The sequence below is a fragment of the Homo sapiens genome, chromosome 19 (genome assembly GCF_000001405.40).
Source record: "Homo sapiens chromosome 19, GRCh38.p14 Primary Assembly".
NCBI classification, from domain to species: Eukaryota; Metazoa; Chordata; class Mammalia; order Primates; family Hominidae; genus Homo; species Homo sapiens.
The window spans coordinates 43,542,754-43,567,592 of NC_000019.10; the positions used below are offsets into that span (position 1 = coordinate 43,542,754).

Sequence of the window (24,839 nt, forward strand, 5' to 3'; positions counted from 1 at the left end):
CTCTTCTGCCTGCCTCAGGCTGCTTCCCACCTCCTGGCCCATGCTATGGCCTCTGCCTAGAGCACCATCCCATCCTCTGCCCTGATTCCCTCACAATCACCTCAATTCCCACTTAAATGTGGTGGAGCCTTGAAGGGGGTGCAGGGTTTGGGTAGGTTGCTTAAAATGTCCCTTCCTCCCATTCTACCTCCTAAATTAGGTGATGTAAAACCACAGTGGTGACATTCATTATACAGCTACTTCTGAAAACCCTGGAGGAAAGGCACTATCCCTGGCCTGGGGACGCTGAGGCTTCAGGAGAGAGACAAGCCTCATGGGTACCCAGGCCTCCAGCCACAAAGGGACAGCCAAGATACAGGTGTGGCTCAGAGGGCCAGAAAAAGTTGAGGGGCAGTGCTGAGGGTCAGATTCCCAGTTCCCTGCCTCTTGCCAACACAGGGATAAGGGGCCAAGCAGAAGAGACAAAGAGTTCCTTCTCTACCAGATCTCTGACGGAGGTGCCCAGCATTCTTCCCCAGGTCCCAGGGAGCCTCTTAGAGTTTTGGGAGACTCTTGGATGAGAACCAACTCATCTTTATTAAATGCATCGTGTGTGTGTGTGTGTGTGTGTGTGTGTGTGTGTGTGTATAGCACATACTTCAGGCTTGCGGCACCACCCCATAGAGCTGGTGAGGAAGTAACTTCTGCTTCTCATTGCAACTGTAGATCCATCGGGGACGAACGAATGCCAGGGAGGGGTTGTCCATCAGGGCCTGCAGGGTGGGGTGGAGTCCATACGGGAATGTGTCATCGAGGGGAGGACGGAGGAGATGCAAAGGTGTGCCCGGGTCTCCCATTCTCTGCCTCTTTGGTACTCACCTCCTCAAAGCTGGGATCCCATTCCTGTGCTGTGATCACAAACTGAACCCGGTCACTCATATAGTCCTCGAGCTCCCTGGCGGGAGAGAAGAAAAGAGGTAGAAGGCACATCAGGGAATCAGCACTGACGTCCTACTCCCCAGCCACTCTCAATGGCTGTCCCCACACTGTCCCCACCTATGCGCCTCTAGGTTGCCTCTAGGCTCCATTCTTTCATGTATCCATCTTGCCACAGCCACAATGACCAGAGCTCCCACAGTGGCTAATCCTCAGGCTGTCCCTTTCAGAAGCAGGGGTAGGGGTAGGGATCCTCGCCATACAGAAGAGGAAACTGAGGCAAGCAATGCACCCTGGGCTGCCGGTGGTGGGCAAGCTAGCATTCGGATTCCATGACCTGTGCCCACCTGCTGGGCATGGCCCTTCTCCATCCTCCTGATGGTCTTCTTTCCCACACCCCCACCCCTCCCAGCAGGTCCCTGAGCGTTCCCTTGGATCCATCACCCCTTCCCCACCCCAGTCCCTGGAGACTCACCCATTGAAGGCTGTGACGTATCGGATGAGTTTCCGCCGCTCGTCCCCAGGGAACTCCCCGTAAAGAAAGAAGTGCTTGCCCTGGAAGAAATCTGCAGGAGAGAAGGGGGCTAAGGTAAGCATGAGGCCCCAGGAGTTCCCAGGCACCAAACAGGAGTGACGAGGCTGACCCAGCAGCTGAGGAGAGGGCTGTCCACATGTGGGCAGGGATTGATGGCAGGCAGTGGACCCTGCCCAGCGGCCCATCAGAGCCTCCTGGGGAGGTAGGTTGGTTGGTTGGTTGGTTTGCTTTAATGGTAGAAGATACAATGCCTATTATTGTGATTTGTTTCTGACCGACAGGCTGGAGCCACTTACCTCTCTCTCTCTCTTTTTTTTTTTTAAGACAAGGACTCACTCTGTCGCCCAGGCTGGAGTGCAGTGGCGTGATCTTGCCTCACTGCAACCTCTGCCTCCTGGGCTCAAGTGATTCTCCCATCTCAGCCTCCCCAGTAGCTGGGACTACAGGTGCATGCCACCAAGCCAGACTAATTTTTAAACTTTTTGTAGAGAGACGGGGTATTGACATGTTGCTCAGGCTGGTCTCAAACTCTTGGGCTCAAGCAATCCTCCCACCTCAGCCTCCTGAGTAGCCAGGACTACTGAGTAGCACACCACCACGCTCGGCTAATTTTTAAAATGTTTTGTAAAGGCGGGGGTCGGGGGGGGTCTCACTATGTTGCCCAGGCTGGTCTTGAACTCTTGGACTCAAGCAGTCCTCCCACCTCGGCCTCTCAAAGTACGGGGTGAGCCACCACGCCTGGCCTGCCTGGAGCCACTTAATGAGCTTAGTCCAGGCTGAAAACGTCAGTATCTGCCACTTCTTCACCTTTGCTCTCCTTTCCAACCAGTGCCTTTCTTGTTCTGACCTTTGGGGTGGCTCCTTCTTTCCATTTTAAGGTGACTCTCTAGGCCATCAATTTGCTGATGCCACTTTAGGGGCTTGGGAGAATCAAAGCATCTTCCTGCCCATCACCCACGAGGAACTGGGTGGAAACGGCTCTTCTGGAAGCCCCAGAACCACACCTCTGCACAGCCCGTGACTGTCTTTCCTCTGCTCCCTTCATTCTCGAAGAAGCTCTGCCTCCCTGCCCCTCATCCCACAACTCCCTGCAGAGTTTCCCCATTTCCTTTTGTTCTTATTCTTTTACACTGGAAATGCAAACACACAATGTGTGCAGACAGCATCCACGTCCAGAGTGATGGCTGATGTTAAAGCAGACACTGGTGTGCACCCACCCAGGGCCTGACAGAGAGCAGTGCCCCTGTCACCTGGTGTGCCCGGCTTCACCCCAGACCAACAGAACGGCACCTGAGCAAGTGAAGCACTAGCATGAGGGTGGGGCCCTCACCCCTGACGTGAAAAAAAGGAGGTCACACCTGGCACATGGCTGCGAGGGGAGTGGTCAGAACAAGAAATCTGGAGGGGAGAAAAAGGCAAGTCACAGAGAGGATGCTGAAAGGAAAGGAACAAGCCTGGCAGAACCTGAAGGTGCTGAGGCAGGGAGTGGGTTGAGGAAGGAGAGGGGAGGCAAGACACGGGGGCAGCAGTGACCCCAGGGCTGGCCAGGGCAAGTCCCAGCTGAGAACTGAGAAGAGAAAATGCCACTTCAGGAGGGATGGGGGGATTTCCCACCTGGGAGCTCAGGGACTGGCAGATCAGGAGGCTCCTGGTGTTCCTCACTGTCCGTGTTCTCATCCGTGGAGCCTGCATACGGGTCTTCCCCATTCTCCTCCTGGCCAGGGGGCAGTCTGTGTTCCTTCTGCTCTGCCACCCTGGGGGTGCCAAGAGGAGTAGAGAGTGAGCATGCAGAGCAGCCTCCCCTACACCCAAGGCCAGGGACACCCCAACCCCCAGCCCCAGCCCTACCTCCTCAGCTCATCCTCTGTGTCCCCAGAATCTTCCGCCCCATTGTCCTGTCCTTCTGCAAGTAGAAGCTCAGTCAATGCAAGGCTGCCTTGTCTCCTGGGAAGACTGGCAGCTCTCCCAGTATGGCACAGACCCAGGCATCTCATGCCCCCAGCCTCAACTGCCCTCCAGATCCAGTCGTCTGGGCCCCCAGCCCCTCCTCCCTCTGATCCAGGAGTCCAGGCCCCAGCCCCTCCTCCCTCAGACCCAGGAGTCCAGGACTCAGCCCTTCCTCCCTCAGACACAGGAGTCCAGCCCCCAGCCCCTCCTCCCTCAGACCCAGAAGCCCAGGCCCCCAGCCCCTCCTCCCTCAGACCCAGGAGTCCAGGCCCCCAGCCCCTCATCCCTCAGACCCAGGAGTCCAGGTCCCCAGGCTCTCTTCCCTCAGACTCAGGAGTCCAGGCCCCAGCCCCTCCTCCCTCAGACTCAGGAGCCCAGGCCGCAGGCCCTCCTCCCTCAGACTCAGGAGCCCAGGCCCCAGCCCCTCCTCCCTCAGAGTCTGACCTGACTGTACCCCCTCAATGTCTATATCTTCCTGGAGCACTGGTGAGGCTGCTTTGGTCTCTTCAGGGGTTGGGGGCTTCTGGGGTGAGCTGGGTCCAGCTGCCTGAGTGGGCTTGGTTTTGGTCTGGGGTTGCTAAGGAGGGAGAGTGGGTGGGTGAGGAGGGCAGGAACAGTGTGGGTGTGTTGGGGGGGTACCTGCAAGAGGCAAGAGTGGGAAGTTTGGGGTGCCACAGCGGACTCATGTCATCCTCCCACTACACCCTCCCCCACTGGACAGGGGGCATCAGACCTTCTGAGGAAGCTTGGGGGCTTCATCTCCGCTGCCACCGCTGTGAGAGGCCTCATCCTCCTCACTGCTGGAACCTGGCCCTGCCATGAGGTACCTAGGGGACAAATCGGGCCTCAGACAAACAGGCCCAAGGGAAGTGGGGAGGGCGTTCAGGAGGCAACAGCCATTGGCATTTACTAAAATACTCACTCTAGTGGGCCTCATGGTCTTGTTCCCAGCCCATTCTCTCCCAGCTCAGGAAGGCCCCAGTGAACCCAGTCAGTCTGGCCACCTGCCCTGCAGACCTGGGTACCCCCTTTCTTCCCCTCCCTCTTTTTTTTTTTGAGACAGAGTCCATTCCATCGCCAGGCTGGAGTGCAGTGGCCTCATCTCGGCTCACTGCAATCTCTGCCTCCAGGTTCGAGCGACTCCCCTGCCTCAGCCTCCCTAGTAGCTGGGATTACAGGTGCACACCACCATGCCCCGCCAACTTTTTGTATTTTAGTAGAGACACGGTTTCACCATGTTGGCCAGGATGGTCTCGATCTCCTGACCTCATGCTCTGCCCCCGTCAGCCTCTGAAAGTGCTGGAATTACAGGCGTTAGCCACCACTCCTGGCCGCTTTTTTTTTTTTTTAGACAAGATCTCACTCTGTCACCCAGGATAGAGTGCAGTGGCGTGATCTTGGCTCACTGCAACCTCCACCTCCCAGGGTTCGAGCGAGTCTCCTGCCTCAGCCTCCCCAGTAACTGCGATTACAGGCATGTGCCACCACGCCTGGCTAATTTTGTGTTTTTTGTGTTGTTTTGTTTTTTAAGTACATACGAGGTTTCATCACGTTGGCCAGGATGGTCTCGAACTCCTGACCTCGAGTGATCCACCCACCTCAGCCTCCCAAAGTGCTGGGATTACAGGCATGAACCACAGTACCCAGAATTCCCCTCCCTCTTGGGGAAGAAATGTCTCAATTCAGAAAGGAATGAAAAATCAGAACTTTCTCCTTTAAGAATCAAAGGCAGTTTCTCATTAGGAAAATACCCACCATTTAAGGGGAAAATCTCAAAGCAAACACATTTTAAAGACTACAACACTATAATCATGGTTCCTTAAGCCACTAACATTCCAGGAAAAGGATTTTCCTAGCTCTAACAACAGTAGCAGGTTCCCGTCCGGGAGGGAGGTGGGGGGCCAGCCGCCCCGTCGGGGGGGAGGTGGGGGGCCAGCCGCCCCATCCGGGAGGGAGGTGGGGGGGTCAGCCCCCGCCCGGCCAGCCGCCCCTCCAGGAGGGAGGTGGGGGGCGCCTCCGCCCGGCCGCCGCCCCGTCCGGGAGGTGGGGGGCGCCTCTGCCCGGCCGCCCCTTCTGGGAAGTGAGGAGCCCCTCTGCCTGGCCACCACCCCGTCTGGGAGGTGTACCCAACAGCTCATTGAGAACGGGCCATGATGACGATGGCGGTTTTGTGGAATAGAAAAGGGGGAAAGGTGGGGAAAAGATAGAGAAATCAGATTGTTGCTGTGTCTGTGTAGAAAGAAGTAGACATGGGAGACTTCATTTTGTTCTGTACTAAGAAAAATTCTTCTGCCTTGGGATGCTGTTAATCTATGACCTTACCCTCAACCCTGTGCTCTCTGAAACATGTGTTGTGTCCACTCAGGGTTAAATGGATTAAGGGCGGTGCAAGATGTGCTTTGTTAAACAGATGCTTGAAGGCAGCATGCTCATTAAGAGTCATCACCACTCCCTAATCTCAAGTACCCAGGGACACAAACACTGCGGAAGGCCGCAGGGTCCTCTGCCTAGGAAAGCCAGAGACCTTTGTTCACTTGTTTATCTGCTGACCTTCCCTTCACTATTGTCCTATGACCCTGCCAAATCCCCCTCTGTGAGAAACACCCAAGAATGATCAAAAAAAAAAAAAAAAAAAACACAACAGTAGCAGGTTGACACTTACATGGGACTTCCTACATGCCAGGTAGCACGTGACAAATACTGAGTCACTGAATCCTGGGGTAGGTCCTATTTTTGGCCCCATTTTACAGGTGAGGAGACTAAGGCACAGAGAGATTATTTAATCTGCCCTAAGCCACAGGGAAGGTATGCAGACACAAATGAATGTATTAGCTCCATTTTTCTGAGACATACATGTTAAGACCCTTCTGCATTTAATTTGGTTGTTTTCAAGCTGGTGAAATGCTGTTTAGGTAAGTCACACTCATAAAACGGTGCCTACAGGAGATTCAGAGGATTTAAAATGTAGTAGTTCATTAACAGTCAATAGCAGGTTTACTTAACTTTTTCTTCAAAGTGCTCTATTCAAAGATTAAAAAAAAAACTAAATTTGTGCTTATTAGGTATGGAGAGTCATCCTCTTGGGGTCTTCCTTCTATAGTTGAATTTTTATTTTATTTTTATTTTTTGAGACAGAGTCTCGCTCTGTCCCCAGGCTGGAGTGCAGTGGCATGATCTCGACTCACTTCAACCCCTTCCTCCCAGGTTCAAGGGATTCTCCTGCCTCAGCCTCTAGAGTAGCTGGGGCTACAGGTGTGCGCCACCATGCCCAGCTAATTTTTGTATTTTTTGGTACAGATGGGGTTTTACCATGTTGGCCAGGCTGGTCTCAAACTCCTGATGTCACGTGATCTGCCCACCTTGGCCTCCCAAAGTGCTGGGATTACAGGCGTGAGCCACTGCACTCAGCCAAATTTTTATTTTTGAGATAAGGTCTTGATTTGCCACCTAGACTGGAGTGCAGCGGTGCAATCATGGCTCATTGCAGCCTGAACCTCCTGGGCTCAAGTGATCCTACCACCTCAGCCTCCCAAGTATCTACGACTACAGGTATGTGCCACCACACCTGGATAATTTTTTTCATGTTTTGTAGGGATGGGGTCTCACCACGTTGCCTGCATCATATAGTTATTTTTTTTTAGTTTATAAATGAGTACAAGCCAGAATTTTTAAAAATATAAAATGCTTTGTGAATTCTTTTTGTTAAGACCAGTTGCAAATCCAACACTGTTTGTCTTTTTCCCTTTCTTTCATGCCCTCCTTAAGCTCTCCCAGGCAGATAATAACCCAAATCTGGTTCCTTCTGCCCCAGATATAGCACCAGCCCATCCCCTCTTCTGTTCCTGAGGCCCCAGCCTACTCAGGAGTCCCCACCTGCAGCCTCCCCTTGACACTTCATCCCTCCCAACAGAGCCTGCCCCTGCCCCCATCAAACCTTCTGTGACTCCCCTCTGCTCACAAGAGGAGGCCTCTGGAGCTGGATGGGCTTCAGAATTTTGAATCTTTCAGGTTTTAGAGAGGCAAATGGCTGGCATACAGATTGTTACATAAACTCCCAGGAGGGCCTGGGGGAGCACCCCATGATCAAACCCACTAATATTTCTGCAGTTAAGACCATGACACACTTAAGGGGATAAAAAAAAAAAAGTCCGCAAATAGCCTCACATTAGTTCAGGATGACTGCAGCGAAATGAGTTTGTGCTGAACCTAGAAAAGAACTTTCAGCTTCTAGAGATGTTTGGATTCCTGAATAACAGATGAGGGTTCTGTGAAGCTGCATGGAGCCCAGTGTGTAGCCTGGGCTCCGGAAGCCCCTTCTGACCTGAGCCCACCCACCTCACAGCCTCGCTATCCCCCAAGGCAAATAATTTCTCAAATACACCAGGTACAACTAACTTCTGAACACACTCAGGCCATGGAGTACAATCCAGTCTCCCCTCCAATTCATGGACCTCAGATATGAGCTAGCCTTTGCTCAGTCCAAAGCCTTCTGTGGTTCCTAATGCCCCAGTCCCATTTTTCCTGCCACTTCTTGCCCCTGTGTAAGCTCAGCCTCACCTACAACTCCAGGCAGACAACAGGCTGACCTGACCTTGTCTCCTCTGCCCAGCATGTTCTCTGCCTCTGTTCAGCCTGAAAAACCTCTCTTGGACCTTGAAGACCCCTCGCTCTCTGCGGGCCACCCTGTGGGGCTTCCACTGCACTGTTACAACAATTCTGATCCCTCATCAAAGTGAGAAGCCTTCAAGGGCAGGGCTCAATGACTGGATCCTCAGCCTTGCACATTCCAGCCTGGCACCAAGCAGGGGCTTCTGGGACTCATTTTGGTTTTTGGGTTTTTTTTTTCTTGTTGAGATGGGAGTCTCGCTCTGTCACCCAGGCCAGAGTGCAGTGGCACGATTTTGGCTTCCAGGTTCAAGCGATTCTCCTGCCTCAGCCTTCCGAGTAACTGGGATTACAGGCGTGCGCCACCAAGCCCAGCTAATTTTTGTGTTTTTAGTAGAGATGGGGTTTCACCATGTTGGCCAGGCTGGTCTCGAACTTCTGACCTCAAGTGATCCACCTGCCTCAGCCTCCCAGAGTGCTGGGATTACAGGCGTGAGCCACTGCACCGGGACTCACTTTGAATGAATGAATATGGACCCTAACACTTGTTCTCCCACCCCTGAGTTTTTGCACAAACTGCTCCTCCAGCCTTTTCTGATAAGCAGGCTTCACAGAGCCCTCTGTGACCTCCCAGGCAGGTCCTCCTTCCCTCATCTGGAGTACCCCAGCCCCTGCCCCGCTCCTCTCAGTAGTCTGCTGGCTCTGGGCTGGGACCACCTGTGTTCTCCGCTGGCAGGCCCCAGTCTGACTCCCCTCCAGATTCCTGGCATTGCCCAGCACAGGATAAGGAGCAGGGTTGGCGTGTGAGGCCTTACCTCTGGGAGGGCAGCCGCCGACGCATGCGGTGACAGTCCAGCACCCACTCCTTACGCACGATGCGGCCTCCCAGGCCTAGGACCTGGCTGTACTTGGGGGTGTTGGCAAAGGCACAGCTGGTGGGGGGCAGAAGTGAAGATGCCAGTTAGGTGTGATCTGAGGGGCAAAGGGGAACGAGACAGGGGAGACAGACAGAGAGAGAGAGAGACAGACAGACAGACAGATCATGAGATTGAGGTGGGAGAAACAAAAAGAGGTTGGAGACCAAGGGAGAGATGCAAAAATCAGAGAGAAGACAAAGGCTACAGAATGCAGTGAGAAAGAAAGCAAGTGAGAGAGAGAGAAAGCATGCAGCATAGTGGACACAGAGAAAGCACAAGGTGGAGGAGACACAGGGAGCTGGGGGAGAAACTGCAGCGGCGCAGGGAGGGGGGCGCAAGCCTACATGAGGTGCGTGCTGTCCCGGGTCCAGTCTGGCCGATACTTGGCCCCAAGCTCTAGGGCCTTATCTCGCAGCTCGGAGCGGAAGGGGTTCTGGAAGCCACTCAGCACCACTACCACACCCTGAAGGATCTTCCCCAGCTCCTCTGGGCCAGCTCGGGGTCGTCTGGGCTCGGTGCCTTCTCCTCGGGGTTTGCCTGTCACTGCCCCCTGTGCTCGGGCAGGGACTGGGGCTGTGGCTGGGGTACGAGTTGGAGCTGGCACTGGAGAAGACAAAGAGTAGATTAGGTTAGCACCACTGGGGGTCAACCCCCAGCCCCTCCTCCCTCAGACCCAGCAGTCCAGGCCCCAGACCCTCCTCCCTCAGACCCAGCAATCCAGGCCCCAGCCCCTCCCCCCTCAGACCCAGGGGTCCAGGCCCCCAGCCCCTCCTCCCTCAGACCCAGGAGTCCAGGCCCCCAGCCCCTCCTCCCTCAGGCCCAGGAGTCCAGGCCCCCAGCCCCTCCTCCCTCAGACCCAGGGATCCAGGCCCCCAACCCCTCCTCTCTCAGACCCAGGGGTCCAGGCTCCCAGCCCCTCCTCCCTCAGACCCAGGGGTTTAGGCCCTCAGCCCCTCCTCCCTCGGATTCAGGAATCCAGGCCCCCAGCCCCTCCTCCCTCAGACCCAGGGGTCCAGGCCCCCAGCCCTTCCTCCCTCAGATTCAGGACAGCAGGCTCCAGCCCCGCTTCCCCTAGGACACAGGAGCACAGGCCCCTGTGGAAACAAGGGATCTAGTTAGCTCACATTTAGGTCTCTTGGGAACAGATGGCGACAGCTGGGCTGGTGGTTTGCTGGGGGTCTTCTTTTCTTCTTGGTTCAAATCCAACTTCCTCTTCCCTTTGGGAGACTCCTGGGGCTGAGGGGATGGGGATGGATTGAGGCCTCCAGCTTCTCTCCTCCTCCACCCCACCAAAGTCTGATGATTTCACCTTGGAGGTGCTGCCTATGGCCCTGGAGACTGGAGAGGCTGAGGAGGCAGCACTAGAAGCCTGGAGGGTAGCAGCTGCATAGCTAGGTCCTGCTGGGTCGCTGGCTGTGACTATGAAGGGAGAAAGTGGATCCAGGATGAGAGGGCTGAGCCCCAAGACCCTTTCACTCCTATCTATGGGACACAGAATATTGTTGCCAAAACCCACCAGTGATCCAGGAGTCCCAGCCTCCAGACCTCTCAACCCTCAGGACACAAGAGGCCAGGCCCACCTTCCTCCACCCTGAGACCCAGGAGTCCAGGACTCCACTACCCTCCTCCCTCAGACCCAGGAATCTGAGCCCCAGCCCCCTCTACCCTCAGACCCACGAGTCTAGGTCTCAACCCTACTCACTCAGGACCCACGTTGTCCGAGCTCACCTGGGGATGTCTTGTTGATCCGGCTGAAGAAGAGAGCCCCCGGCCTCAGAGAGTTGGCGCTCTCATCCTCCTCCTTCACACGGAACTGGCCAAGCTTGGTCACTGTCACCTTCTAAGGTCCCGCAAGGTCAGTATTATAGGTGGGCTGCTGGCAGGTGGGGGTGGAGAGGCAGGGAGAAGGCCATGGGGAGTGACAGGTACAGCTTACCTGGGACGGGGCCTCTGCCTCATCTTTGTCTGGGGGGCTATGAAACCGTACAAAACTCAAGCCAAAGGGGGAGTCCTGGGAAAGGAGGGGTGGGAGTCAGGGAGTCTGGCCCAAGGACAGAGGCCAGGGCCCAAGACCCTTTTCACTCAGGGAAACCTCTTCCTGGCTCCTTCCCTCTCATGAACACCCATGTTGAAGGAGGGGCCCTGGCGATGGTGATGACAATTATAGGATTAAGCTGTTATGACTGAGCCCTAACTCTGAGTCTGGCTCCAAGCCCTTTTCACGCATTAGCTCTTTGGGCAATTGGCAGAGTCTACTAGGTGTCCCAGCGAATTCACTGCCCTATGCACAAACTCCTGCCTGTGGAATGGGAGGGAGTGCTGCGTGCCACTTCCAGAACACAGAAGTGTTCCAGGCTCTCTCCTCTGCCAGCTGGATGCAGAGCCAGAAAATAGGAGAAGTCTGGGTCCCTGCACGACCTCATAAGGAGAAGCCAGCTGACAGGCTAAACACTCCCCAGGACAGTTACCTGGGCAAGAAGCACACCTTTAGTGTGTGGCATCATCACATACTCCAGTCTCACTGTTACCACAGCTTTTAGCATCCCTTAACCTACAGCAACCCTGTAAGGATCAGGCAATGGAGGCCCAGAGAGCGTAAGTCACTTGCCCAAGATCACACAGCTAAAAAGTGGTATAGCCAGGACGTGAACTCAGTAATCAGACGCCAGATCTCCTGATGTTAACTACTAGGCCCACTCTACTAGGCCACCTCTCTAACAAGTCAGTTCCCCTCCTCCGATTCCCCTCTGAGATGCTGCAGTTCACCCTTCCTAGATTCCTCCGGGAGATGAAACTTCTCATTACAGGAAAGATCCCAAACCCATTTCAGGGAACGCAGGGACCCAGCCTCCCCATAATCCCATGGGACACCAGCTGTCTACTCCTCCCAGCCCTATGGGACTCAATATTGGCCCTTATTTCCCTCCTTGCCCAGGACCAAGGACTCTGCACCCTGGCTCCCACCCTAGGTACCTTGCTGTAGGGCTGGCTGCAAACAATTTTGACCCGGTCCCAGCGCTTCTCGGCGGCTGCCCGGACCAGCTTGTCAGGCCCAAACATGCGAACGCGGTTGGGGTTTGAGCCACTGCGGCTCTCGGAAGGGGACATGAAAGATGAGGTGACCAGAAGGACCTGGGTGGGAGAAGCCACAGTGCATGAGAACCAGGGCAGGTTGGCTTAGATGAGAGCTTCTAGGGGCTGGGGAAGAGGGCACAGGGCCCACACAGGGGACTGGGAGTCACTAGAATGTAGCTTGGGCCTAGATGTCTCCAGACCCTTTGTTTCTAGGCCTTGAGTCAGTCCTGCCCTGACACAGGCCCCAGAGGGATCTCTTTATCCTCCAGATGTGAGCGACCCTTATCTAAATTCTCCCATGGAGTCTTCCATATCTGGCAATACAGCGGGCTACATGTCCTAAGGAACTTTCCCGGCAGAGAATATTCAGTAAACTGGCACAATATTCAAACACCTTTTGGAAATGCACAGGTGAGTCAGCGGAAAGGCAAGGGGAATTACTAGAGGCTGGAAATGAGAAAACAGAATCCAGAGAGTCAGGCGAGCTGCACTAAGTATTAAGTGATTGTTTCTCAGCTCAAACCTACCCTCTACAACTCATCTCTGTGATCTGGGCCCGCACTTGGCAAACCACCTTTCTGCTTCCCTAGCTGATCGTGACCAGGCTCTGCCAATAGGGGGGGCAAGAGAGAGAGTTTGCAAGGCTGCAGGAGGGAGGAAGGACCAGCTTCTCGTGCATTGCAGATCCTGTGAGCATCACCCCCAGTTAAGCTTCTGCTGCTGCAGTGGTTCCTGCCTGCAGCAGCAGATGAATCCAGTTTGCAGTGTCCCAATACCTCCAGAAACAGCCTCATTCAGCCCCTCTCAGCAGCCGGTGGGGGAGGAAGCCCTCCTCAAACGATCTGAATTTCAGCTCCTGGAGCCCCACCTCCCAGTTTCCAAACATCTACGTTTCAATAATTCCTGCTCCTTTCTTTTGTTCCCCCAACCCTGGGAGTGGTAGCTACTCCCTGCGGTTGCTTCTCCCTCATATCTTAGTCTTCTAGTAACACCTAGTTACTGGTTCTTTCTATCAAATTATCTGTTAAAATAACTGGTGTGGTTTTAATCTCCGGGCAAGGACCCTGACTGACCCGGCAGCACTCATGTTGGTAGTTTGTCATGGTGCTGATCCCAGATAGCAAATAACTTGATTTTATTTATTATTATTATTTTTTTAAGAGACAGGGTCTTTCTCTGTCACCCAGGCTGGAGCACAGTGGTGCGATCATAGCTCACTGCAGCCTCGACCTCTGGGTCTCAAGTGATTCTCCCACCTTGGCCTCTGAGTAGCTGGGTCTAGAGATGCACGACACCACACCTGGCTAATTTTTTATTTTTTGTAGAGGCATGGTCTTGCTATGTTGCCCAGGCTGGTCCTGAACTCCTGGCCTCAAATGATCCTCTCACCTCAGCCTCCCAAAGCTATAGAAGTACAAGTGTAAGCCACCACACCCAGCTAGAACTTGATCTTTAAGGGTTATGCACGTGGTGGTGAAAGAGAACAAGAGAGAAAACCTAGGCTCCAAGCAAGGGAGAGTGGCATCTCAGAGATCCTCACCACACTGCATAGAACTGAGGACTCCCCAAAGGCAACGCCCACACTAGTTACATGAAGGGGAAATAAGCCTGTGGAAAGAGTCCCTGGGAGGCCTGTCTGTCTTGGCCTTAGCTTGGGGGGACACCAAAGAAGAGGTGAAAATTCTTCTCGGGAGAACTCCTCACAAGTCTGTTCTCTCAAGGAATTGAGAGTAGCAATTCATGTTAGCAATCTGCATTGAAAAACCCAAGCTGAGGCCAGGCGCGGTGGCTCACGCCTGTAATCCCAGCACTTTGGGAGGCCAAGGCAGGCGGATCATTTGAGGTTAGGAGTTCAATACCAGCCTGGCCAACATGGTAAAACCCCATCTCTACTAAAAATACAAAATTTAAGCCAGGCATGGTGGCAGACGCCTGTTGTCCCAGCTACTCGGGAGGCTGAGGCACGAGAATTGCTTGAACCCAGGAGGCGGAGGTTGCAGTGAGCTGAGATCGCACCATTGCACTTAAGCCTGGTGGACAAGAGGCCAGGAGTTCAAGACCAGCCTAGCCAACATGGTGAAACACCGTCTTTACTAAAAATACAAAAATTAGCTGGACATGGTGGTAGGCACCTATAATCCCAGCTACTCGAGAGGCTGAGGCACAAGAATCGCTTGAACCCAGGAGTTGGAGGTGATGGTGAGCCGAGATTGTGCCACTGCATTCCAGCCTGGGTGACGGAGCAAGACTCTGCCAAAAAACAAAAAACGAAACAAAAAGACTGGGCACAGTGGCTCACACCTGTAATCCCAGCACTTTGGGAGGCCAAAGCAGGCAAATCACGAGGTCAGGAGATCGAGACCATCCTGGCCAACATAGTGAAACCCCATCTCTACTAAAAATACAAAAAAATTAGCTGGGCATGGTGGCGCGTGCCTGTAGTCCCAGCTACTCGGGAGGCTGAGGCAGGAGAATCACTTGAACCCAGGAGGCGGAGGTTGCAGTGAGCCAAGATTGCGCCACTGCACTCCAGCCTGGCAATAGAGCGAGACTCCGTCTCAAAAAAAAAAAAAAAAAAAAAAAAGATGAATGCAGCCACTTTTGGTTGGGTATATTTTGTTACTGACTTAGTCTCTTTTCTAACTGACATGCTGTGAAATTATAAAATTGGACAATAAAGCCTTTTGCTGAGAAAAACAGAACATAACTATAGCTCTCTTTGTGCACAGCTGATTATGCAAAGGAAACAAGAAAGACAATTATACAGAAGGGAAGTTTTCTTCCTGACCTTGACTATACTTGTTTATAAAAGGCCTGATTTGGAGCTGACAGGGAAGCTGCATTTATCATCTGGTGACTAACATGGGAAAACCCTGTCCTACTAAATACAAAAAAAATAGCCATGCATGGTGGCACAGGCCTGTAATCCGAGCTACTTGGGAGGCTAAGATGGAGAATCGTTTGTACCTGGGAGGCGGAGGTTGCAGTGAACCGAGATTGCACCACTGCACTCCAGCCTGGGCAACAGGAGCAAAATTCCATCTCAAAAAAAAAAAAAAAAAAAAAAAAAAAGGAAGGAGGGAGGGAAGGAGGGGAGGGAGAATGGAAGGAAGGAAGGCTCCTGTGACTTTGGGTTTGTGCCTTTGATGTTTTTGAAGAGTAGAGGTCAGTGATTTTTGTCAGATATCACTTATTGTACAAAGTATCTGATGTTTCCTTGTGATTAATTTAGGTTGCACACTTTGGCCAGAATACCACAGAAGTGATGTGTAATATACAGTTTATTTTGTATATTGACTTCTCATCTTGTGACCTTCACTTACTAAACCTTGTAGTTTGTCTAGATCTCTTGGGATTTTCTGCATAGACAATCATGCCATCTGTGAAAAAAGATAGTTTTCTTTTTTCTTTTTCTCACCTTGTCACACTGACTAGTGCAAAGTTGGGCATGGTGGTGCAAGCCTGTAGTCCCAGCTACTTGAGGGGCTGTGGAAGGAGGATCACTTGAACCCGGGAGGACAAGGCTGCAGTGAGCTGAGATCGTGCCACTGCACTCCAGCCTGGGTGACAAAGTGAGACCTCGTTTCAAAAAAAAAAGAGTAGGCCAGGTACACACAGCAGCTCACATGTGTAATCCTAGCACTTTGGGAGGCCGCAGCAGGTGGATCACCTGACCTCAGGAGTTCAAGACCAGCCTGGGCAACACAGTGAAACCCTATTTCTACAAAAAATATTTAAAAATTAGCCGGGCATGATGGCTCCCACTAGCTACTTGGGGGGCTGAGGCGGGAGGATCACTTGAGCCCAGGAGGCAGAGGTTGCAGTGAGCTGAGATCATGCCACTGTACTCCAACCTGAGCAACAGAGTGAGACCCCCATCTCAAATAAATAAATAAATAAATAAATAAATACATATATACATAAATAAATAATATGGTTAAAAAAAGAGACAGTTTGGTATTGGCATAAAGAAAACTATACATATCAATGGAACAGAGAAGAGAGTACAGAAATAAACCCATACATATGGTTAATTAATTCTCAACAAGGAGTCAAAATGATTCAATGAGAAAAGGCAAGTCTTTTTTTTTTTTTCAAAGTATTTTCAGCCAGGTGCAGTGGCTCAGGTCTGTAATCCCAATACTTTGGGAGGCCAAGGTGGGAGGATCACTTTAAGCTCAGGAGTTCAAGACCAGCCAGGCAATGTAGTGAAACCCCATTTCTACAAAAAATTTTTTAAAAAATTAGCCGGGTATGGCGGCTCACACCTATAGTCCCAGCTACTCAGGAGGCTGAGGCTGGAGAATCCCTTGAGTCTGGGAAGCGGAGGTTGCAGTGAGCCAAGATCATGCCACTGCACTCCAGCCTGGCCAACAGAGTGAGACTCTGTCTTAAAATAAATAAAATAAATAAATAAGCATTGTCAACAAACATATAAAAAAGATACAGAAAAGGGCCGGGTGCGGTGGCTCACACCTGTAATCCCAGCACTTTGGGAGGCTAAGGTGGGCAGATCACAAGGTCAGGAGATCGAGACCATCCTGGCTAACACAGTGAAACCCTGTCTCTACTAAAAATACAAAAAATTAGCCGGGCATGGTGGCACGTGCCTGTAGTCCCAGCTACTCCGGAGGCTGAGGCAGAATGGCGTGAACCCGGGAGGTGGAGCTTGCAGTGAGCCGAGATCGCGCCACTGCACTCCAGCCTGGGCAACAGAGTGAGACTCCATCTCAAAAAAAAAAAAAAAAAAAAAAAAGATACAGAAAAAATAAACCTTATCCCCTGCTTCACACAATACACAAAAATTCACTTGAGATGAAACAGAGATCTAAATGTAAAATCTAAAAATAGAAAGCTTCTAGAAGAAAACATAGGAGACAGGCAGAATAACAGCTCCTCAAAGATGTTTACATCCTAATCCCTGAACCTGGAAATGTGGCAGAAGGCACTTTGCAGATGTGATGAACTTGAAGATGTTGAAATGGGGGAGATGCCCCTGGATTATCCGGGTAGGCCAAGTGTCATCATAAGGGTCTTTATAAGAAAGGAGGGCTGGGTGTGGTGGCTCATGCCTGTAATCCTAGCACTTTGGGAGGCTGGGGTGGGTGGATCACTTGAGCCCAGGAGTTTGAGACCAGCCTGGGCAACACAGTGAAACCCTCTCTCTATAAAAAATAACAAAAGCTAGCCAGGAGTGGTGGTGTGCACCTGTAGCCCTGGCTACTTGGGAGGCTGAGGTGGGAGAATCACTTGAACCTCAGAGGCAGAAGTTGCAGTGAGCTGAGAACACGCCACTGTACTCCAGCCTGGGCAACGGAAATGAAACCCTGTCTCAAAAAAAAATGAACAAAAGAAAAAGAAGGCCAGGCGCAGTGGCTCACGCCTGTAATCCCAGCACTTTGGGAGGCTGAGGCGGGCAGATGACGAGGTCAGGAGTTCGAGACCAGCCTGGCCAATATGGTGAAACCCCGTCTCTACTAAAAATACAAAAAAAAAAAGTTAGCCGGGCGTGGTGGTGGGCACCTGTAGTCCCAGCAACTCGGGAGGCTGAGGCAGAAGAATAGCTTGAACCCGGGAGGCAGAGGTTGCAAGGAGCTGAGATCGCGCCAGTGCACTCACTCCAGCCTGGGCGACAGAGCGAGACTCCGTCTCAAAAAAAAAAAAAGAAAAAGAAAAAAAGAAGGCAAGAGAGTCAGAGTTGGAGAAGTAACAATGGAAGTGGAAGCAGGCGTTAGAGTGACAGGAGTGCTGGCTTTGATGAAGGAAGGGTCACAAGCTGAGGAGGGCAGATGGACTCTAGAAGCTGAAATAGGCAAGGAAATGGATTCTCCCCTAGAGCCTCCAGAAGGAACAGGGCTCTGCCTACACCTAGATTTTAGCCCAGTGAGAGTGATTTCAGACTTCTGACCTCCAGAACAGTCGAATAATACATTTGTGTCATTTTAAGCCATGATCCAAACTTGCTCTCTTCCCTGATGTGCAGTTTACCGCCCTGTGTCTGCCTTCTGTCTCCTCCGTACACTGGGTGATCCTCCAGAGGGCAGCAATCAGGTGTGACTCACATCTGCCCCATGTCTTCCCAGCCCCAGCCCCTGGGGGAGACGGTGATGCGAGCATGAGGGGCAGAGGTCAGTATGGGATCCATCTCATAGCCCTGCTTACCTCATAGTCTTGCTCCCCAGCGCCTCCAGCTGAACTGCCCACCAGCACCTCCACGAAAGCTGAGCCATCATTCCCAATGTCCACACTGTGTATCTGCTCCTCCTTCTCCAACTGTGGGCAGAGAGAGAGGCCACTGTCAGTGCCTGCTCTGCCTCTGGGCTCACTGTGGGACCTCAGGATGAATCTCCTTTGGATCACCATGTCCCTGTAATGTCAATTCTGTGAGGGGGCACACCAGGGTTGAATGGTGCCATGTGTCCCCTCCATGCAGCACAGGGTATGGCATGGAGCAGAAACTCACAAAATAGTCACTGAATGAATGCATACGCGCCCACCTCACACATACCTGCTTCCCTGACCTCTCCAGACTCCACCAGGTCAGCTTATCACACACTGCCATAGAGCTCTCCTTGATAAGCACTTGCCAGAGTTATAACTTTATTCAAATCATCATGCAGACAAACAGCACATGTCACCCCTCACCCACAATCGCAGAGGACTCCAGGAAACCTCCCTGAGGGCAGGGGCTTTGTCCGATCTTGCTCACCGCTGGTTCCTGGGTTTGAATCCCAGCTGTGCTGCACACTAGCTGTATGACCATACCAGTTAACCTTTTGGAGCCTCAGTTTTCTCATCTGTAAAATGGGAATGACCACCATATCTAGGATCATGCACATAAATAATGGCCACAGGGCATGGCGAAGAGTAGGCAATTATCTGCTGTCAGTCAGGAGGTATTATTAGTCAGTGCTAGACAACTATTTGTTGAAAGAAGAAAAGAGCTACCTATAGGAGGGCTCATCTCAAAGGATCTGCCATTCCTGTCTGACAGATGAAGATGCAGAAAGCCGTGCGGGCCATGCGGGCACGGGAGGCAGTTAGGTTGAGGCAAGTGTCCTGCCTTCCAGTTTGGGGCTCTTTTATTAGGATCCTAGAATGACGCATTATTACAACTCTCAAAGGTACCTGGGCCAGGTGCAGTGGCTCAAGCCTGTAAATCCAGCACTCTGCGAGGCCAAGGCAGTGGACCACTTGAGGCCAGCCTGGCCAACATGGCAAAACCCCTTCTCTACTAAAAATATAAAATATAGCCGGGCATGGTGACACATGCCTGTAGTCCCAGCTCTTCAAGAGGCTGAGGCACAAGAATCTCTTGAACCTAGGAGGCAGAGGTTTCAGTAAGCAGAGATCATGCCACTGCACTCCAGCCTGGGTGACAGAGCGAGACTCTGTCACAAAAAAAAAAAAAAAAAAAACCAAGGTACCTAGTCCACCCTACACTGCCCTCTCCCACCCCTGGTGATGACAGATGCTCCAATCTGCTCTGTTGCCTCCCTGTCAGATCATCTAGACATCACCTGCACACTGCTATCAACAGGAACACCACTGTATGGAAGGAGGGAGCCTGGACTTGGGGTGAGGTAGGCCTGGGCTCAAATACAGCAATGCCATTTCCAACCTGCACAACCTTGGGTGACGTATTCAACGTCTCTGTGAGGCAGTTTCCTCACATGCAAAAAGGGAAGATGGTCATTAACAACCCTCCCTCCTTGGCCAGGCGCAGTGGCTCACGTCTCTATAACCAGCACTTTGGGAGGCTGGGGTGGGAGGATCACTTGAGGCTGGGAGTTCAAGACCAGCCTGGGCAACATAGCCAGACCTTGTCTCTACAAAAATTACAAAAATTAGCAAGGCATGGTGGCACATACCTGTGGTCCCAGCTACTCAGGAGGCTGAGGAAGGAGGATCGCGTGAGCCTGGGGAGGTCAAGGCTGCAGTGAGTCATGTTCGCATCACTGTACTCTGGGCGACAGAGTGATGAGACCTTGTCTTCAAAAAAAAACTTACCCTCCCTCTGAAGGAAGTTGAGATGACACAGAATTAACAACTATAACCACAACTGCGGCCAACATCCGAGTGCACTGAGCGCTCCTGGTGTGCCAGACTCCTGCTAATAATACATGTATCTACTCTCCTGCAATGGCTCTGCCAGGCAGTTGCTATAATTATCTCCATCTTACACATGAGCAAACGGAGGCAGGAAGTGGTTATGTAACTTCACAGCTGGTGGGTGGCAAAGCCGGACCGGAACCCAGGCAGGCTGGCAACAGTCCACGCGTGCTCCTCCATCACACCACTGACGTGCTAGAGGAGGAAGATGGTGCTGGAGGAAGGGCCTGCCTAAGGCTGAGGCCGGCAGACCTCCTGCTGACTCCCCTGCCTCCACCGCCATTCCCAGCCCTGGGCCCTGGGCAGTGTACAGTGCTGCCTGGGCTCATGAGATGTCCCAGTCTGGGCCAGGTGTGGTGGCTCACACCCGTAATACCAGCACTTTGGGAGGCTGAGACAGGTGAATCGCTTGAGGTCAGGAGTTTGAGACTAGCCTGGCCAACATGGTGAAACCCTGTCTCTACTAAAAATATGAAAATTAAAATTAGCCGGGCATGGTGGTGAGCGCCTGTAATCCCAGATACTGGGGAGGCTGAGGCAGGAGAATCACTTGAACCCGGGAGGCAGAGGTTGCAGTGAGCCGAGATTGTGCCACTGCACTCCAGCTTGGGCGATGGAGTGAGACTCTGTCTCAAAAACAACAACAACAACAAAAACAACAATAACAAGAAGTCCCAGTCTGACTGCTCCCCAGGCCAGGCTTGGTGACTTTCCACCAGCCACAACGGCCTCCCTTCTGTGCCAAGAACAGTCTGGCTCCTTCCCACCTCAGGGCCTCTGCACCTGCCAATCCCCCTGCCTAGACCACTCTTCCCTCAAACATATCCATAGCTGGGTAAAAGTTTGCCTTCTGTGCTTCAGGTGCCCACTCAGATGTCACTTCAGACCATAAGTAACCTACCTCGCCCCCTACCTGGTGCCACTCTCTATCTCCCTACCCGACTTTACTTTTCTTCATGATTACTGCCTGGTGTTACACAGTTACATCTTTTTTGTTTGTATTTGTCTAGCATCTGTCTCTCCCGCCAGACTTTTAAGCTCCACAAGAGCAAGGACAGTATCGTCTGAGTTGTTCCCTACTGTGTCCCCAAGGCCAAGAACAGTGTCTGGTCCTTCCCAGCTCTGCTGATTTCCTGCTGTGTGATCCTGGAGCAAATGGTTTCATTTCACCCCTTGTGCCTCAGTTTTCGAACCTATGAAATGGGGACAATAACAACGTCTATCTCATAAAGTTGTTGAGAACATTCAAATCCATACCAAGAATGAGAAATAACATACCAAGTGCCTGGAATACTGCCTGGCACCGAGCAAACACTACATAAATGTCAGCTGCGAATATCATTAACACAGCAGGCCTCTACTGCATTCCCAATGGATGTACAGACAGACGCAGAACAGGCGCCCAGCAACCGTTTGCAGAAGTTACTACTCAAGAGTTATTAAGCAGTAACTCTGGCTCTGTCCTCCCTTACCAAGTGGCCCTGTTGAGCCCCTTCTCTGCTGCTTGCCTGGGTGTCCCATCTGTCACAAGAGGATCATCATGGCTAACATTTTCGGATTCTCACCATGTGCCAGGTGCTTGGTGTATGAGTTTCCTGTTACTGTTGTACAAATTAGCACAAACTTTGTGGCTAAAAACACAAATTTGGCCAGGCGCAGTGGCTCACGCCTGTAATCCCAGAACTTTGGGAGACTGAGGCAGGCGGATCACCTGAGGTAGGGAGTTCGAGACCAGCCTGACCAAAATGCAGAAACTCCGTCTCTACTAAAAATACAAAATTAGCCAGGCGTGGTGGCGCATGCCTGTAATCCCAGCTACTCAGGAGGCTGAGGCAGGAGAATTGCTTAAACCGGGGGGGCGGAGGTTGCAGTGAGCCGAGATCACACCACTGCACTCCAGCCTGGGCAAGAAGAGCGAAACTCCGTCTCAAAAAAACAAAAAAAAAACACACAAATTTAATATCTTACAGATCTGGAGGTCAAAAGTCTGAAACTCGGCCTTACAGGGCTAAAATCTAGATGCGGCAGGGCTGCATTCCTTCCTTCCGGGAGCACTAGAGGAGAACGTGTCTCCTTGCATCTTCGGCTTCTCGAGGCCACCTGCCTTCCTTGGCTCACAGTCCCTTCCTCGTCTTCAAAGCTGCTGAAAGCGCTGGCATCACTCCAGGCTCTGCTTGCATCTTCACAGCTCTGGTTCCAGCTCTCTTGCCTCCCTCTTTCCCTTATAAGGCCTCTGGGGGTTACGTGAGGCCCACCAGATAATCCAGGGCACTCTCCCCATCTCAAGATCCTTAATTTAATCAAACCCACAGAGCTCCTTTGGCCATTAAAATATTTCCAGGTTCTGGGGATGAGGACATGAACATCTTTTGAGCACCACTGTTCTGTCCACCACACTTGGCTAAGCATGGGCCGGGCATCACTGAAGCCTCAAAACCACTTTAAATAGAAGGGTCTGTTACGACTCCAGTTTCACAGATGGGGAAACTGAGGCTCAGACAGGTTTAATCAATAGCTTACATGGCACACAAGCTAATAACTAGCAGAGTACTTCGGACGCAACTGCCTGACTGCAAAGCACTGTCCAATACCACCACTGTTCTCAACTCCTTTCTTTCCATCCCTGAGTCAAACTCAACATCTTTACCTCTCCCACAATATTCAGCATAGCTCCTAAATGTGGTAGGATGGAGATGCTTGTATTTTAAATGAACAATTCCTACTGCATATATAACTATTTCTACTTTAAACAGGCACTCCCTGACATTTCTTCTTTGTATATAAAAAAAGTCCTGGCTAGGAGCACTGGCTCACGCCTGTAATCCCAGCACCGTGGGAGGTGGAGGCGGGAGAATCACTTGAGGCCAGGAGTTCGAGACCAGCCTGGCCAACATAGCAAAACCCTGTCTCTACCAAAAATAAAAAAAGTTAGCTGGGTGTGGTGACACGCACCTCAATAATCCCAGCTACTCAGGAGGCTAAGGCACAAGAATTACTTGAACCTGGGAGGTGGAGGTTGCAGTGAGTTGAGACGAGCCACTACACCCCAGCCTGGGTGATAAAGTGAGACTCTGTCTCAAGAGAGAAAACAACAGGCTGGGCACAGTGGCTCACACCTGTAATCTCAGCACTTTGGGAGGCCAAGGCAGGCAGATCACTTGAGGCCAGGAGTTCAAGACCAGCATGACCAATATGGTGAAACCCTGTCTCTACTAAAAATATAAAAATTAGCCAGACTTGGTGGCGTGCACCTGTAATCCCAGCTACACAGGAGGCTGAGGCCAGAGAATCACTTGAACCTGGGAGGCAGAAGTTGCAGCGAACCGAAATCATGCCACTGCACTCCAGCCTGGGTGACAGAGTGAGACTCCATCTAAAAAAAAAAAAAAGTGGCCAGGCACGGTGGCTCAGGCCTGTAATCCTAGCACTTCGGGAGGCAGAGGTTGGCAGATCACAAGGTCAGGAGAGTTCAAGACCAGGCTGGCCAAGAGGGTGAAACCCCGTCTCTAGTAAAAATACAAAAATTAACCAGGCATGGTGGCAGGCGCCTGTAATCCCAGCTACTCGGGAGGCTGAGGCAGAGAATTGCTTGAACCCAGGAGGCGGAGGTTGCAGTGAGCCAAGATCATGCCACTGCATTCCAGCCTGGGTGGCAGAGCAAGACTCTGTCTCAAAAAAAAAAAAAAAAAAAGTAAATAAATACTTTTTAAGAATCTGATAAAAATGTTTATACATGGAGGCTGGGGTGGTGGCTCACGCCTGTAATCCCAACACTTTGGGAGGCCAAGGCAGGTGGATTTCTTGAGCCCAGGAGTTCAAGACCAACCTGGGCAACACGGCGAAACCCCGTCTCTACTAAAAACAGAAAAATTAGTTGGGCATGGTGGCATGCGCCTGTAGTCCCAGCTACTCAGGAGACTGAGGCACGAGAATCACTTGAACCTGGGAAGCAGAGGTTGCAGTGAGCCGAGATTGCACCACTGCATTCCAGCCTGGGCAACAGAGCAAGACTCAATCTCAAAAAAAAAAAAAAAAAAAGGTTTATATATACATGGTAACAACCCAATAAATGTCCATCAGTTGATGAATAGATAAACATTGTACAGTATATTTATGGAATATCATCCAGTTATTTAAAAAACTGAAGTTGTGATATATGCTACAACATGGATGAACCTCAGAAACATTATGCAAAGTGTAACAAGGTTAAGTGTAAAAGACCACGTATACATTTATAAGTCCAGAATACGCAAATCCAGAGAAGCAGAAAGTAGATCAGTGGTTGCCAAGGGCAACATTGGGGAGAGAATAAGAAGTGACTGTTTAATGGTTATGTGGTTTCTTTTTGGAGTGATGAAAATATTCTGAATTAGAGAATGGAGATGGTTGAAGAACATTGTCAATATGCTAAAAAAAAAAAAAAAACCCTGAAATGTGCACTTTATTTATTTATTTATTTATGTTTTTTGTTGAGACGGAGTCTCACTCTGTTGCCCAGGCTGGAGTGCAGTGGTGCAATCTCAGCTCACTGCAAACTCTGCCTTCCAGTTCAAGTGATTCTCTTGCCTCAGCCTCCCGAATAGCTGGGACTACAGGCACGCACCACCACCCCCGGCTAATTTTTGTATTTTCAGTAGAGATGGGGTTTCACCATGTTGGCCAGCCTAGTCTCGAATCCCTGACCTCAAGCAATCCACCCGCCTTGGCCTCCCAAAGTGCTGGGATTACAGGTG

The 24,839-nt window shown here is 51.6% G+C and overlaps 1 protein-coding gene across 1 annotated transcript in view, besides 1 other annotated feature; it reads right to left on the bottom strand.

The window, feature by feature from the left end:
* XRCC1 (X-ray repair cross complementing 1) overlaps nucleotides 558–24,839 on the bottom strand; it is a 32,217-nt gene continuing 7,935 nt past the window's right edge. Inside the window, exons 3-17 of the mRNA NM_006297.3 lie at nucleotides 18,157–18,267; nucleotides 11,893–12,051; nucleotides 10,856–10,930; nucleotides 10,648–10,759; nucleotides 10,229–10,338; nucleotides 10,044–10,155; nucleotides 9,264–9,522; nucleotides 8,818–8,934; nucleotides 4,131–4,224; nucleotides 3,842–3,974; nucleotides 3,299–3,353; nucleotides 3,065–3,204; nucleotides 1,391–1,481; nucleotides 859–934; nucleotides 558–752 (exon numbers count right to left, since the gene is read on the bottom strand). Of these exons, the coding sequence (NP_006288.2) occupies nucleotides 639–752; nucleotides 859–934; nucleotides 1,391–1,481; nucleotides 3,065–3,204; nucleotides 3,299–3,353; nucleotides 3,842–3,974; nucleotides 4,131–4,224; nucleotides 8,818–8,934; nucleotides 9,264–9,522; nucleotides 10,044–10,155; nucleotides 10,229–10,338; nucleotides 10,648–10,759; nucleotides 10,856–10,930; nucleotides 11,893–12,051; nucleotides 18,157–18,267 (1,758 nt within the window). The 3' untranslated portion in view covers nucleotides 558–638. The remainder of the gene's footprint in view (nucleotides 753–858; nucleotides 935–1,390; nucleotides 1,482–3,064; nucleotides 3,205–3,298; nucleotides 3,354–3,841; nucleotides 3,975–4,130; nucleotides 4,225–8,817; nucleotides 8,935–9,263; nucleotides 9,523–10,043; nucleotides 10,156–10,228; nucleotides 10,339–10,647; nucleotides 10,760–10,855; nucleotides 10,931–11,892; nucleotides 12,052–18,156; nucleotides 18,268–24,839) is intronic.
* Nucleotides 20,332–20,832: an enhancer, noted in NCBI's record as "H3K4me1 hESC enhancer chr19:44067237-44067737 (GRCh37/hg19 assembly coordinates)". NCBI's record gives its function as "activates a minimal SCP1, AML or CMV promoter by ChIP-STARR-seq in naive H9 embryonic stem cells {active_cell/tissue: H9 hESC(naive)}" and the evidence as "EXISTENCE:reporter gene assay evidence [ECO:0000049][PMID:30033119]".